The sequence below is a fragment of the Homo sapiens genome, chromosome 11, assembly GCF_000001405.40.
Source record: "Homo sapiens chromosome 11, GRCh38.p14 Primary Assembly".
Lineage (NCBI taxonomy): Eukaryota > Metazoa > Chordata > Mammalia > Primates > Hominidae > Homo > Homo sapiens.
This window is the reverse complement of record NC_000011.10, coordinates 27,458,457-27,470,639: the sequence shown is the minus strand read 5'-3', so window position 1 is coordinate 27,470,639 and position 12,183 is coordinate 27,458,457. Positions and strand designations below refer to the sequence as shown.

The following is a 12,183-nucleotide window of genomic DNA, read 5'->3' as shown; positions in this document are numbered from 1 at the left end:
TACATTAAGTGGGAAAGTTTGAGCAGGAATTGATTGAATCAAGAGAAAGAAGACCTGTGGAGAGGAAATGGGACTAATTTTTCCCCAAGTTCTCTAGAAACGTTTAGGGAATTCGTGCAGAAAGAAATGCAGAAAGAAAGGTCCCTTTACCTGAACCTCTTGCAAGGCTCTGCATAGAATAGAAAAGCACAATTTTACTATTTTGACCAGTAGTAAAGACCTTGTTTAGCAGATTCCTCACATTTTAGTGAGTAGACTTGTCCTATAAGGAAACGGGCTGTTTTACATTAGTATCTAAAACCACAGAGAAATAATCACACTTTTATGAGAGCATACTCCTCTCTCCAAAGCATCTTCTGGTAGAACTCACTGAAGGTGGTGAAATGCTGTATCTTCAACTTTGGGCCTTAGAATAAGTTAGTGTTCATGGCTTAGGAAACAGAAAAATAATTGGTACCAGTCTCAATTAGAGTGCCTAAACTAGCATTATCTTAGCACTTTCTGAGCTTTGGTGGTGTGCAAATGTGTTTTATTTTCTTAGATTTGTGACCTGTAGGTAGAGTGATCGTACATTCTGGTGACTCCTTATTTCTCCTTAGTACTCATTTCACCCTCAAAAATATATATAACCACCCTCTCTAAAAGGGTTTTCAAGGACAGCATATTTGCATTTTACTCATGGGGAAACTAGCTCATTCAGTGATTCTCAAAAGCAATGTATGAAGCAAGGCCAGTGCTGCAGGTTTGCACACTCCAGTCGATCATATATGGGACATGTTGCGATCACCTAGGGTCTTTTTCCAAGTACTTCCAGTCTGCTCTCCCATCGCAGCTTTACTGAGATACAGTTACACATCAGGAGACTAGTTCCGTGGTCTCTAAGCGTTTGTTCACCTATTCTTAATTGCTGGAGCATGTGAACCAAAAACCTCTGTAGTTATACAGAAAATTACAATCATGAAAGTAGAAGTTAAAAAGATGAAACTATAATTACTAATCAGAGTTCTTCATTTTCTTCTCATTGCTCAATGGCTTGTCCTGGAGTAGTGCTTTCACCTTCCCTGGGGACAGGGGTGGGGGGTGCATTTCACTTTAAAGATCCTGGGACTGACAGGGCAGTGATTTTATTTTACTCAACTTGGGATCCCCAGAGCCCGGTACATAGGAGGCACTTAAAAATGCTGGAGTGAATAAATAAGGATGCAAGGCCACACCGAGGAGCAGAACCGTGGCATGGAATTCAGACACCATTCCCACAGGGGATTTTCAGATTCATTCTCAGCACTTAGCCTTTTGTCCAGATTTGAGAAGGTCCCAGAGAGAGAATACCTGCTTCTTCTCCTTGAGGCTGGTTGAAACTTGTTCAGTCTAACAGTGTCTATTTCCTGGTGAAAGCCGCTTTACCGGAGTCTGGGGACAGCGTCAGATGTGATCCTCAGTACTGTGAATGGGATTCCTGTATTCACACCATTTGCTGCACCTGTAGCAACTATTTATGTTTTTGAACAACAGTATTCAATCTTGTGTCACAATGCACTGGCCTGTCACAATTCACCCCGAGGAGTGTTCAAGGCAGTAATCTTACTAATATTAAAATTCCGAAGTTTAATCAGAAGGATTCAAGGTTATTACTGTATTTGTGCTAATAACTCAATCACCTACATTCCAAGATTGGGAGAAGAGATGAAGTCATGGGGAGGGGAATGTGTATGTGAGTCCTCTGGTTTGTGTGTTATTGCTACGGTGTTTGAGAAACGTAGACCTCGAGCACAAATTTGCATGTCCTAGGTTATGTTTGGCACATAGTTTTAAGATTAGCAAGGCTATTTCTGTGACTTCGTGAAGAAAGTGGTGGACCTGAGTCCTTGATCATAGCTTTACTATGCCACTGAGTAATTGAATGGCCTTGGGCAAGTCATTCACTTTTTTTTTTTTTTTCTCGTGACAATTTCCTCATCTGAAAAGTGAAGCAACTGGATTCACTTGATCACCTCTAAGGCTGCTGCTTACTTCCAGAAGTTCTATGATTTTATATTTTTTACACCATTTTAGGATGGCAAGGTGACAATAAGGTTATGATCCTCTCATAAAAATATCCCAGGAGTAGCAGAATATCCTTTTAGTTGAGCTCACACCACCCTCTTTATTACTTGGAGGAGTTCTTTGTGTTTAGAAGTGTGTGTTAGGAAATTTGCCATGGAGACTTGTTGCAGAATGCATGACTAGCTAAGGCACTTTGCTAGGGTAGAATAGCCCTGGTTGTTTCCTGTGGGTATGGCTTAACACTTGGAAAATAAAATCACTCTGTTTCAGTAATTTGGATACTGTACAAAAAGTTACTCAACATCCTCACTTCCATATAATTAGTCATAATCTCTCAAACCTTCACAGTGTATGTATCCTGTACATGAGCAGGTTGTTGAGCTTTTTATTTAGAATTGAGTTACCTGAAGGACTTTAAAGTGTTTTTAAAGAATCTCCTTTTGGAAAGATCATCTCAGATTCTTCCCTAAGGTGTATTTTTTTTCCCCCACTACTCCAAGCACCTTTCTTCTTTTACTAATACCATTTGAAAGTACTTTTTAACGTATTCTCTGATATCTACTGTGTATTTCCTGGCAGGTCAGGTCAGTAGTCAGTGGCTACATGTTTGTATTTATTGATGGTAGAGTTTTGTTATCTTTTGATTTCTGAATTACAGAAATCAATTGTTGGCTTAGTTTGTGTTGTGTGTCTTTCTAGAGATGCATTAGTTTTATATACAAGTGAACTTTGTTCAAAACAAGAACGATGTATGAATATCTTTAAGTATAGGTCCTTTATTTTCCAAACTAGTGAACCATGTGTTCTCTTTAAATATAAGCGAGGAAAAAATATTCTGCCAGGCATAGGGAGTGCTGGGTTCCAGATCTGTCAATAATTCACAGGAGTGACCTTGAATGAGTCATATTCTTAACCCTTCAGGACCTTATTTTCCTCATCTGTAAATCTGTAAAACAAGTCAACAACTCTTAACTGCCAAAAGTGTTTTTTATTGTTGTTCTCTATTTAATTTGATTTTTTTTTTTTTTTTGAGACGGACTCTTGCGCTGTTGCCCAGGCTGGAGTGCAGTGGCACGACCTCGGCTCACTGCAACCTCCACCTCCCAGGTTCAAGCAATTCTCTGTCTCAGCCTCCCGAGTGGCTGGGATTACAGGCACCCGCCACCATGCCTGGCTAATTTTTTTGTATCTTTAGTAGAGTCGGGGTTTTACCATCTTGGCCAGGCTGGTCTTGAATTCCTGACCTCGTGGTCCTCCTGCCTCGGCCTCCCAAAGTGCTGGGATTACAGGTACAAGCCATCGTGCCCCGCCTTATTTTGATTTTTATACATTCCTTGGGTCCTCTCTATTGTGTTAAATGAAGTATAGGTGTCTAAACTGTAGAATCTCTCACCAACCCAGGAGACTCTTCCAGTTGTCCAGTTCACCTGGAATATTTCCATTGCATGGGGAACTCATGCCTCACAGGCAAAAGTGTACTGGATATGATCTGAGCAATTCTTAAGACTTGAGGCCAGGTGTGGTGGCTCACACCTGTAATCCCAACACTTTGGGAGGCCAAAGTGTGTAGATCCCTTGAAGTCAGGAATTCAAGACCAGCCTGGCTAACATGGTGAAACCCCGTCTCTACTTAAAATAAAAAAAAATTAGCCGGGCGTGGTGGTGCACGCCTGTAGTCCCAGCTACTTGGGAGGCTGAGGGAGGAGAATCTCTTGAACCCCAGAGGTAGAGGTTGCAGTGAACCGAGATTGTGCCACTGCACTCCAGCCTGGGCAACAGAGCGAGACTCCTCTCAAGAAAAAAAAATAAAAAAGACATGAACCAGTAATTCTCTCACTTAGGGTTCCTTAACACTTGCAGTAACCAATAATGTTTTATAATTTCCAGTCAAACTAAATGCTCTGCCGGTTATGGTATCATAAGTGTTTAATGTCCAGGCCCTTGGCTCTTAACATTAGGATTGTAAGGTAACATTTGACAACTTAATCTCTTAGGAAAGATCAAAGTTCTGTATTAGTAGGTAGATCCAGGCAAGTTTAGGCATATTCTTGGCCTCTGTCTCTGTCAGGTCTATCTCTCAGCTTCTTATTTTAGTCATCTTTATAATAATGGAAAGTACTGGCAGCCTGCAAGTTTGGATTTTGGTTTCTGGTCTCCTTGATTGTGCCTTTTATTCTCATTCTTCTAATCAATAAATAATGGACATTTGACTAGATGATGGCTAATGCCTCTCTCTTTGCTTTGAATTTCTGTGAATCTGAGTAGAATATTAAGTAAAGTTGCAAGAATCATTTAGTAATTTATGGAAATATTTTTAAGACTGTCTCCTGCCTTTTCTCTATTAAAAAAAGATAAATATCTATAAAAGTACAGTATTTGTTGGTATACTTGAGTTAAAAGTTAAAACCCTGCCAAATGTGCCTTTAACTCTGAAAAATAAAAGTAATGTAACTTAGAGTATTCTTTATAAGACACCTTTGCTCTTTTAATTTTTTAAACTTGATCTCAAGGTTTTGGAGTGAGAAATATGTTACCCAGCTTGCTATTTAACCGTCCCGTGCGGCCTTCAAGTTGTTGGCAATGTTAAAGCTTGTTTTCCTATACATAAAAGAATATGGATGACTTTTTTTCTTTTTTCCCCCAACTTTGTTCGGTGAAGTGTGGTTTTTTAAAAGCTTGATTGAAGATGATAAAATGCTGTAATTGTAAATCCTGTCAGTGAAGAAAAAAATCTAGGACATTTAGCAAATCAGTACTCTTACACAATGGCTAATTTGTCTGCCTCTCTTGACATTTCTTTTGTGCCTTTCAGCACCTGATGGTCACACTGTATGCTAGGTGTCAACTCTATTGTCTAAAATTGTGTGAGTTAAAAATTGAGTTTAGAAATCAGTCTTAGCATGAGACAGATCGTGATTTTTTAGCTCATGTACAGTTGATAACTTCTCAACTTTCCGAAGACTAACAAGTTAGTATTCAAACACCTCTTTTAAATTGCAAGATGTAATTGTGTGCTAGTATACTCTGAGTTCACTCACACATAGACAAATATTCGTTATTAAACTTTGTGTATGGCTGAGCTATTTTTAGCAAGATCTTTAAAGCATACTAAAATATTCTGTGTCGTGTCCAGGCAATTAAAACTCTGAATGATTGGGTTGGTTGGTTTTAATCTCTAAAACATGTTTTTCATACCATTACGTATTTTAATTGTCAGAAAAGCTCACTAGCCTGGTCTTCCCCCAACCACAAGATTTGGCGTTATGCATCTGGGTTCAGCAATGCCTTTCTAATAGTCCAGGTCCCTGAAATGAATATTTAAAATATATATCCTTCTTAGCTTTCTGTCATGAAAGATCTTATGGGTAAGACATTGAACCACCCTCCTGTGGCAACATGTTGGTTCATAAGAATATAAGCATATCCTTGTAAGGAAATGTAAACCATAGATATTTTGGGAGGCAGCTGGGCCAAGATTGGGTATACGTTTAGATCCCAGGCTGGCCTGCTGTTTGTGCTAGTGAGAAAATGTGCAGAGGAAGCATATTTAATATGTTACAAGACATTTAGTGGTTCTTTATTCCTTATATTTAATTTGTAATTAAGTAATCTGAATCAAGATAAGCCTTTTTAAAAGGCTGCGTAAACCCCTTTAGCTGGTTGTGTTTTCTAGATTGACACTAGGAGAATGCAGGTTTTTTTTTTCAAAGTTTTAAAAACAAAATTGACCCTTGAAAGAGTGAAAATCTCATTGTACCCTGGCAGCAAAGTACTTTTGGTATTTGAATCAGAGTGTAGAACCCGATATCCAGAAAAAATAACAAGTTACATTCTCTCTATCCCCTTATATTTTTAAAGTTCTATTTGGGGAAATTTTTCTTCCTAAGAAGAGTGACATAAATTTGGCAGGGAGATAGCTCCTTACCTTGGAGCTGTACTAGGCATAGCTAAGGAATGTGCCTGGGATTGCTTCAGGTCACACTTCTCCACTCCCCTCAGGCTTTGAGGTTCCTTATGTAGCTCTTAGTGTAAACAGCAGAGTCATTTAGTACAAGTGGTGACATCGAAACTCCCCTAAAGAGTTTTATTAGAGCTGTTTTCATGTGAGGGGAGATGAATTTTATAATTCGCACTCTCTTCAAGTGTCTGGTTTTGAAGTTGCTGAATGGGAGGTGTGTTTGCAAACTGGCAATCTCTTCTCTGAAACTAGGGAGTAAGGAGTGGGCTATGGCTAACTTCCTGGTTTCTCCCATTTCCCTAAGGGATCAGCTGTATGCCTAGAAGCCCTTGAAGAAACCATAAGGGTCACATATGAAGGGCTTGGCAGACCAGATATTTTCAGGAGGGAGGAAACTCATGGTTGCCACTCCATTCTAGATTGCCAGCCTTCTCCTGTGTGCAAACCGTCTCAGAGAACTGCATTTTTGCAGAATAATTCTCCAGAAAATGAGAGAACACTCTCTCTTGAGTAACTTAACAGGAACTCTTAGGCCAGCCTATCAACTCTTTTCTGTAGTAGGGAAGAGAAAGCAGATATGTTAACTGTGGACCTTCAGATTTCAGTTCGTGGAAACTGTTCATGTGCTCTTCAGCCTTCTGTTTTAGGTACTAAATTAATTCAGATTTTGCGTATTTTAAATGTGATAATTGCTCTTCAGTTGCCCTTCAGGATCTCCTTCTCTCACACAAGTTGAAGTGTACGCGGAATTCTTACTTAATTTAATCAGAGTTCATAAGAAGGGAACATTAAATGAATTTAATACATTTCAAATATGTTTCTGTCATTTTTTTTGTTTTGTTTTGTTTTTTTGAGATGGAGTTTCACTCTTGTTGCCCAGGCTAGAGTGCAGTGGCACGATCTCGGTTCACTGCAACCTCCGCCTCCTGGGTTCAAGTGATTCTTCAGCCTCAGCCTCCCGAGTAGCTGGGATTACAGGCACCTGCTACCGCACCCGGCTGATTTTTGTATTTTTAGTAGAGACGGGGTTTCACCATGTTGGCCAGGCTGCTCTCGAACTCCTGAGCTCAGGTGATCCGCCCGCCTCAGCCTCCCAAAGTGCTGGGATTACAGGTGTGAGCCACCACGCCCAGCCAAGTGTCATGTTTTAAATATTACACATTATGGGTTTATTAACTGATATTTAGCAGTTTATCATAATCTCAGTTTTCATCCCTTCTCTGCTATTTCTGCTATTTATCTCATTTGATTAGTTTTTAAACATCTTAATTTTTTCTACAAGGAAAAATTTTCTTGTTGGCCTTCCGTTCTCCAAGTTCATTTTGAGTCCATGGTCATGTCATCTAGCTTTTTATGTTACTATCAACTCCCCAGTCTTTTTATTTTTGAGACAGGATCTCACTGTGTCACCCAGGCTGAAGTGCAGTGGCACAATCATGGCTCACTGCAGCCTCAACCTCCCAGGCTAAGGGCATCCTCGTACCTCAGTCTCCGAAGTAGCTAGGACTACAGGTGAGTGCCACCATGCCTGGCTAATTTTTGTATTTTTTTTTTTTTTTTTTTTTTTTTTTGGAGACAGGGTCTCACCATGTTGCCCAGGTTGGTCTTGAACTCCTGGGCTCAAGTGATCTGACTGCCTTGGCCTCCCAAAATGCTGGGATTACAGGTATGAGCCACTGCGCCAGGCCCTCAGACTTCTTTTGTAGGCATATTTTTATGAATAGATTTTCAAAAATGGTTTGTTTTTTTCCTTTCTTTTTCTTTTTTTTAAGAGTCTGGCACAGGAAATGAAGACATCCGAGTTCAGGAGGGCATTGTAGAGCTTGGGCAGGTCACTTAACCACTTTGGACTTAGCATTTCCCATGTGCAAGAAGAGGCAGCTTGCATTATCTTCAGGGTTGCACCAAGGAAACGCTTCAGCATGACTTTTTTGAGTGACGCCGAGTGAGAATGCAATTTGTCATTTCTTGTGGGAGTGACTAAGCCGTTGTCTGTGTGTTATAACAGTGAATTAAAATTCTAACCCTGTTTCTTTGGTTCTTTGAATGTATATCAGGTTCAAAGCCCATAGACTTCACAGGTGAGCCACTGTGCTAATGGAAAAAGGCTACTCATCTGGTAGATTCTTCATATAAAAATCCATGAAGACCCTGGTAGAGAAACAGTAGTACATCTGATTTTATAAAGATACCTTCTTGTAGATGGTGCTACTTCCCTCTAACAAGAAAGCCTTATGGAGGAGAGGTACAGTTTATCTGGAGGAGGGAGCTCAAGGGAAATCTTACATTTTTGCCTGGGTCTCTGTGACTTGTTGCTGCCTTCCTGAGATGGCTGGTCAAGTAGAAAGGTGCTGTCCTAACATGGGAACGCAGGGTTTCTCTTCAGAGCAAATGGGCGTGTGATAGCCCATCCTTTAAAGACAGTGTCAATGTGATCTGTAGATACTGACTTTCTACTTCCAGACTTTGTGACACTGAGGACTTTCATTAAAAGTCCTAACTCAGTGGCTGGGGGCTGTGGCTCACGCTTGTAATCCCAGCACTTTGGGAGGCCGAGGCGGGTAGATTACCTGAGATCAGGAGTTCGAGACCAGCCAGGCCAATGTGGTGAAACCCTTCTCTACTAAAAATACAAAAAAGAAATTAGGCTGGCATGGCGACGGGCACCTGTAATCCAGCTACTTGGGAGACTGAGGCAGGAGAATTGCCTGAATCCGGGAGGGGGAGGTTGCAGTGAGCCAAGATCCAGCCTGGACGACAGAGTGAGACTCCACCTCAAAAAAAAAAAAAAAAAAAAAAAAATCCTAACTCAATCTTTGGGAACCTTCATGCCAATGAGAGCCCACTGTAGTTTCTTGGATCACTTTCTTTCTTTCCATGTGGACATAAGGAGCAGGGGTGTCCAATCTTTTGGCTTCCCTGGACCACACTGGAAGAAGAATTGTCTTTGGCCACACATAAAATATACTAACGGTAACAATAGTTGATGAGCTAAAAAAAAAAAAATGTGCAGAAAAATCCCATAATGTTTTTAGAAAGTTTATGAATTTGTGTTGGGCTGCATTCAAAGCCATCCTAGGCTGCATGGGGCCTGTGGGCTGTGGGTTGGACAAGCTTGATGTAGAAGATGGGTAAGATTTACTTATCATGGACAATTTGGCTGCATTCTTATTTTTCACATCACTTTGGTTCTAGAAATATGCAGATTACACATGAACTTTTTAAGTATTTTGAAAGTATTTATTTTATGATTTTACTGGTTATGGGGTACCTATGTGTTATTTTTTTTTTTTTAATTTATGGAGATAGGATCTCATTTTGTTGTCCAGGCTGGTCTCGAACTCCTGGCCTCAAGCAATCCTCCTGCCTCAGCCTCTGAAAGTGCTGGGATTACAGGTGTGAGCCACGGTGCTCCTATGTTTTTTTTTACATTTGAGATTAATGCTTGGTTTTGTAGCTAAAGAAAAGCTTATTATCTTAAAAGTAAATTTAGAACTAAAATCCTTTCTTTAAAGTATTACATATTTTAAAAAGTTTATATGACATTCTTAAGCACGGTTAAATCTTTCTCAGAAACTAAAAACTTCTCTGAGTTTTGATTCAGACCTGATTTAAACATGAATTACAAAGACAGAATAGTAGCTAACGTATGCAGTAGCCCTCACAACCTATTTAGATTGGCTGAGTGTTTCAAATACAGTTGTGCGTTTTCTACCCTGGGTCTCCTTCTTTAAAAAAAAAAAAAAGTTTGAGATGTTTTTCCCATTACCATCTTGACATCTGCCTGGTTACACATGAATAGCTTGACCCAGTCCCTCAGCAGGGAGACTACCATGGCCTTGCTTTCAATAGCCATGTCACTGACAAAGAAAACATATGGAATATTTCATTCCTACCCTTCACACACAGAGTCTGGGGCTGTGAGGGCATGCAGCAGAACGCTTCATTCTTCATGGTAGGTTGGCAAATCTGTGCACAAACCACAGGCTCTGCTGTTAGTAATCAAACTGTGTTTTCCAGAGCCTCATTACATTCTGTAGAAAGAAAATCCCTTGTTTTGGATAAATCAATTTCTAATATCAGTTTGAATTAACTTAGGATGGCTGGCTTCCATGATGGGTTTTCCACCTAATCATGTATTTCACCAAAGGACATTTGTGTATGCGTGAGCACAGGGGATTTGGGTATTGCTCTGCCAGATTTGATATGTGGTGTGTGTTGGGATCACAGATGCTTGAATTCCCAGTAGGATAGGCCTTGAAAACTGCCTGCCTTTATGTTTATCTTCTTGTCAGCCCACAGAAAGAGATCAATTGATCATTGTCCTGCTAGCCAAACACTGCTGCAATGACCTTTAAAGGTTTCCGTTGCATATAGTATTAGCCTTCTTCTTGGGAGCTCGGTTTCAGGTCAGCTAGCATTGAGGGCTTTGGTCTGTGGCATCTGAAGCTATAGTATTGAGGCTCATCAGCAGGTGTGACAGGAGATGGTCAAGAACATGAAATAGAAGGGTAAGTTAATTCCTTTCTCAGCTCTTATTCTTTTTTTTGAGACGGAGTCTTGTTCAGTTGCCCAGGCTTAAGCATAGTGGTGCCATCTCGGCTCACTGTAGCCTCCGCTTCCCGGTTCAAGTGATTCTCATGCTTCAGCCTCCCGAGTAGCTGGGACCACAGGCACATGTCATCACACTTGGCTGATTTTTGTATTTTTAGTAGAGATGGGGTTTCACTATGTTGGCCCCGCTGGTCTCGAACTCCTGACCTCAGGTGATCCACCTGCCTTGGCCTCTCAAAGTACTGGGATTACAGGAATGAGCCATTGCACCCAGACTCTCAGTGCTTATTCTGTGTTAAAAGAATTTGCTAGCCAGGTGCTGTGGCTCATGCCTGTAATTGCAGCACTTTGGGAGGCCGAGGTGGGTGGATCATGAGGTCAGGAGTTCGAGACCAGCCTGGCCAAGATGGTGAAACCCCGTCTCTACTGAAAATACAAAAATTAGGCAGGTGCAGTGGTGGGCACCTGTAATCCCAGCTATTTGGGAGGATGAGGCAGGAGAATCACTTGAACCCAGGAGGTGGAGGTTGCAGTGAACCGAGATCGCACCACTGCACTCTAGCCTGGGTGACGGAGCAAGACTCTGTCTCAAAAAAAAAAAAAAGAATTTGCCCTTCACACCATCCTGGCTGAGGTGGCATTCCAGAATTCCAGAAGGAGGAAAAACCCCCCGCTGTGACATCCAAGGATAAGAAGATTTATGACGTTGGCAGAGGAAGTAATGACATCCATTTCATCAGGGTCCTTCCCAACCCTCAAGTTACTCGAGCCTGAGTTTCTAGTTTCATTGTTTTTCAGACATGTAGACTGGTTTTGACAGACAGAAGTTGATGATTTATCTAAAAGGAAGCAAGCTCCTGTTGATTATTTTATCTCAGATATAGCCACATATTTAAATTTATATAGACATCTCTTCTAGAAGTTATTTCTGATGGTTCTTGGTATCATTACTGAACATAAGCTGAATAACAACATGCTAAAAGAAATTATTGCCTTTCACATTTTCTCATAAAACTGATTCCTTTTGTAGTTCTTGATTATAATAGATTTCCTTTAAATTTATTGGCTCATTTAAGGTTAAATTTTTAAAAGTTTCTGTTTTATGGTTCTTCATAAATGAATCTATTTGTGGTTCCCTTTTTATTTATTGCCTCCATATTTTTATCCTAAAATAAATGGTTTAATCTTAGATGTTCCATCTTCCTTACTTTGACTGCTTCCCTGACTTTCAAAACTGTGAATTCAAGGCCCGGCATGGTAACTCATGCCTGTAGTCCCAGCACTTTGGGAGGCCAAGGTGGGCGGATCACCTGAGGTCAGGAGTTCGAGACCAGCCTGGCCAACATGGTGAAACCCCGTCTCTACTAAAAATACAAAAATTAGCTGGGCATGGTGGTGGGTGGCTGTAATCCTAGCTACTCGGGAGGCTGAGAGAGTAGAATTGCTTGAACCCGGGAGGCAAAGGTTGTAGTAAGCTGAGATCGTGCCATTGCATTCCAGCCTGGGTGAAAAGAGCGAAATTCCATCTCAAAAAAAAAAATACTTAAAAAAATTAAGAAAACAAAAAAACTATGAATTTATAGAGAAAACTCCCCCAAGCTCCTCAATTTTAAAAGTCATCCTTTTTA

The 12,183-nt window shown here is 40.6% G+C and overlaps 1 protein-coding gene across 2 annotated transcripts in view, besides 1 other annotated feature; it reads left to right on the top strand.

The window, feature by feature from the left end:
- The window catches only part of LGR4 (leucine rich repeat containing G protein-coupled receptor 4), a 106,830-nt gene that overhangs the window by 2,151 nt on the left and 92,496 nt on the right, over positions 1–12,183 (top strand). The window lies entirely within an intron of this gene.
- Positions 8,521–9,021: an enhancer, noted in NCBI's record as "H3K4me1 hESC enhancer chr11:27483166-27483666 (GRCh37/hg19 assembly coordinates)". NCBI's record gives its function as "activates a minimal SCP1, AML or CMV promoter by ChIP-STARR-seq in primed H9 embryonic stem cells {active_cell/tissue: H9 hESC(primed)}" and the evidence as "EXISTENCE:reporter gene assay evidence [ECO:0000049][PMID:30033119]".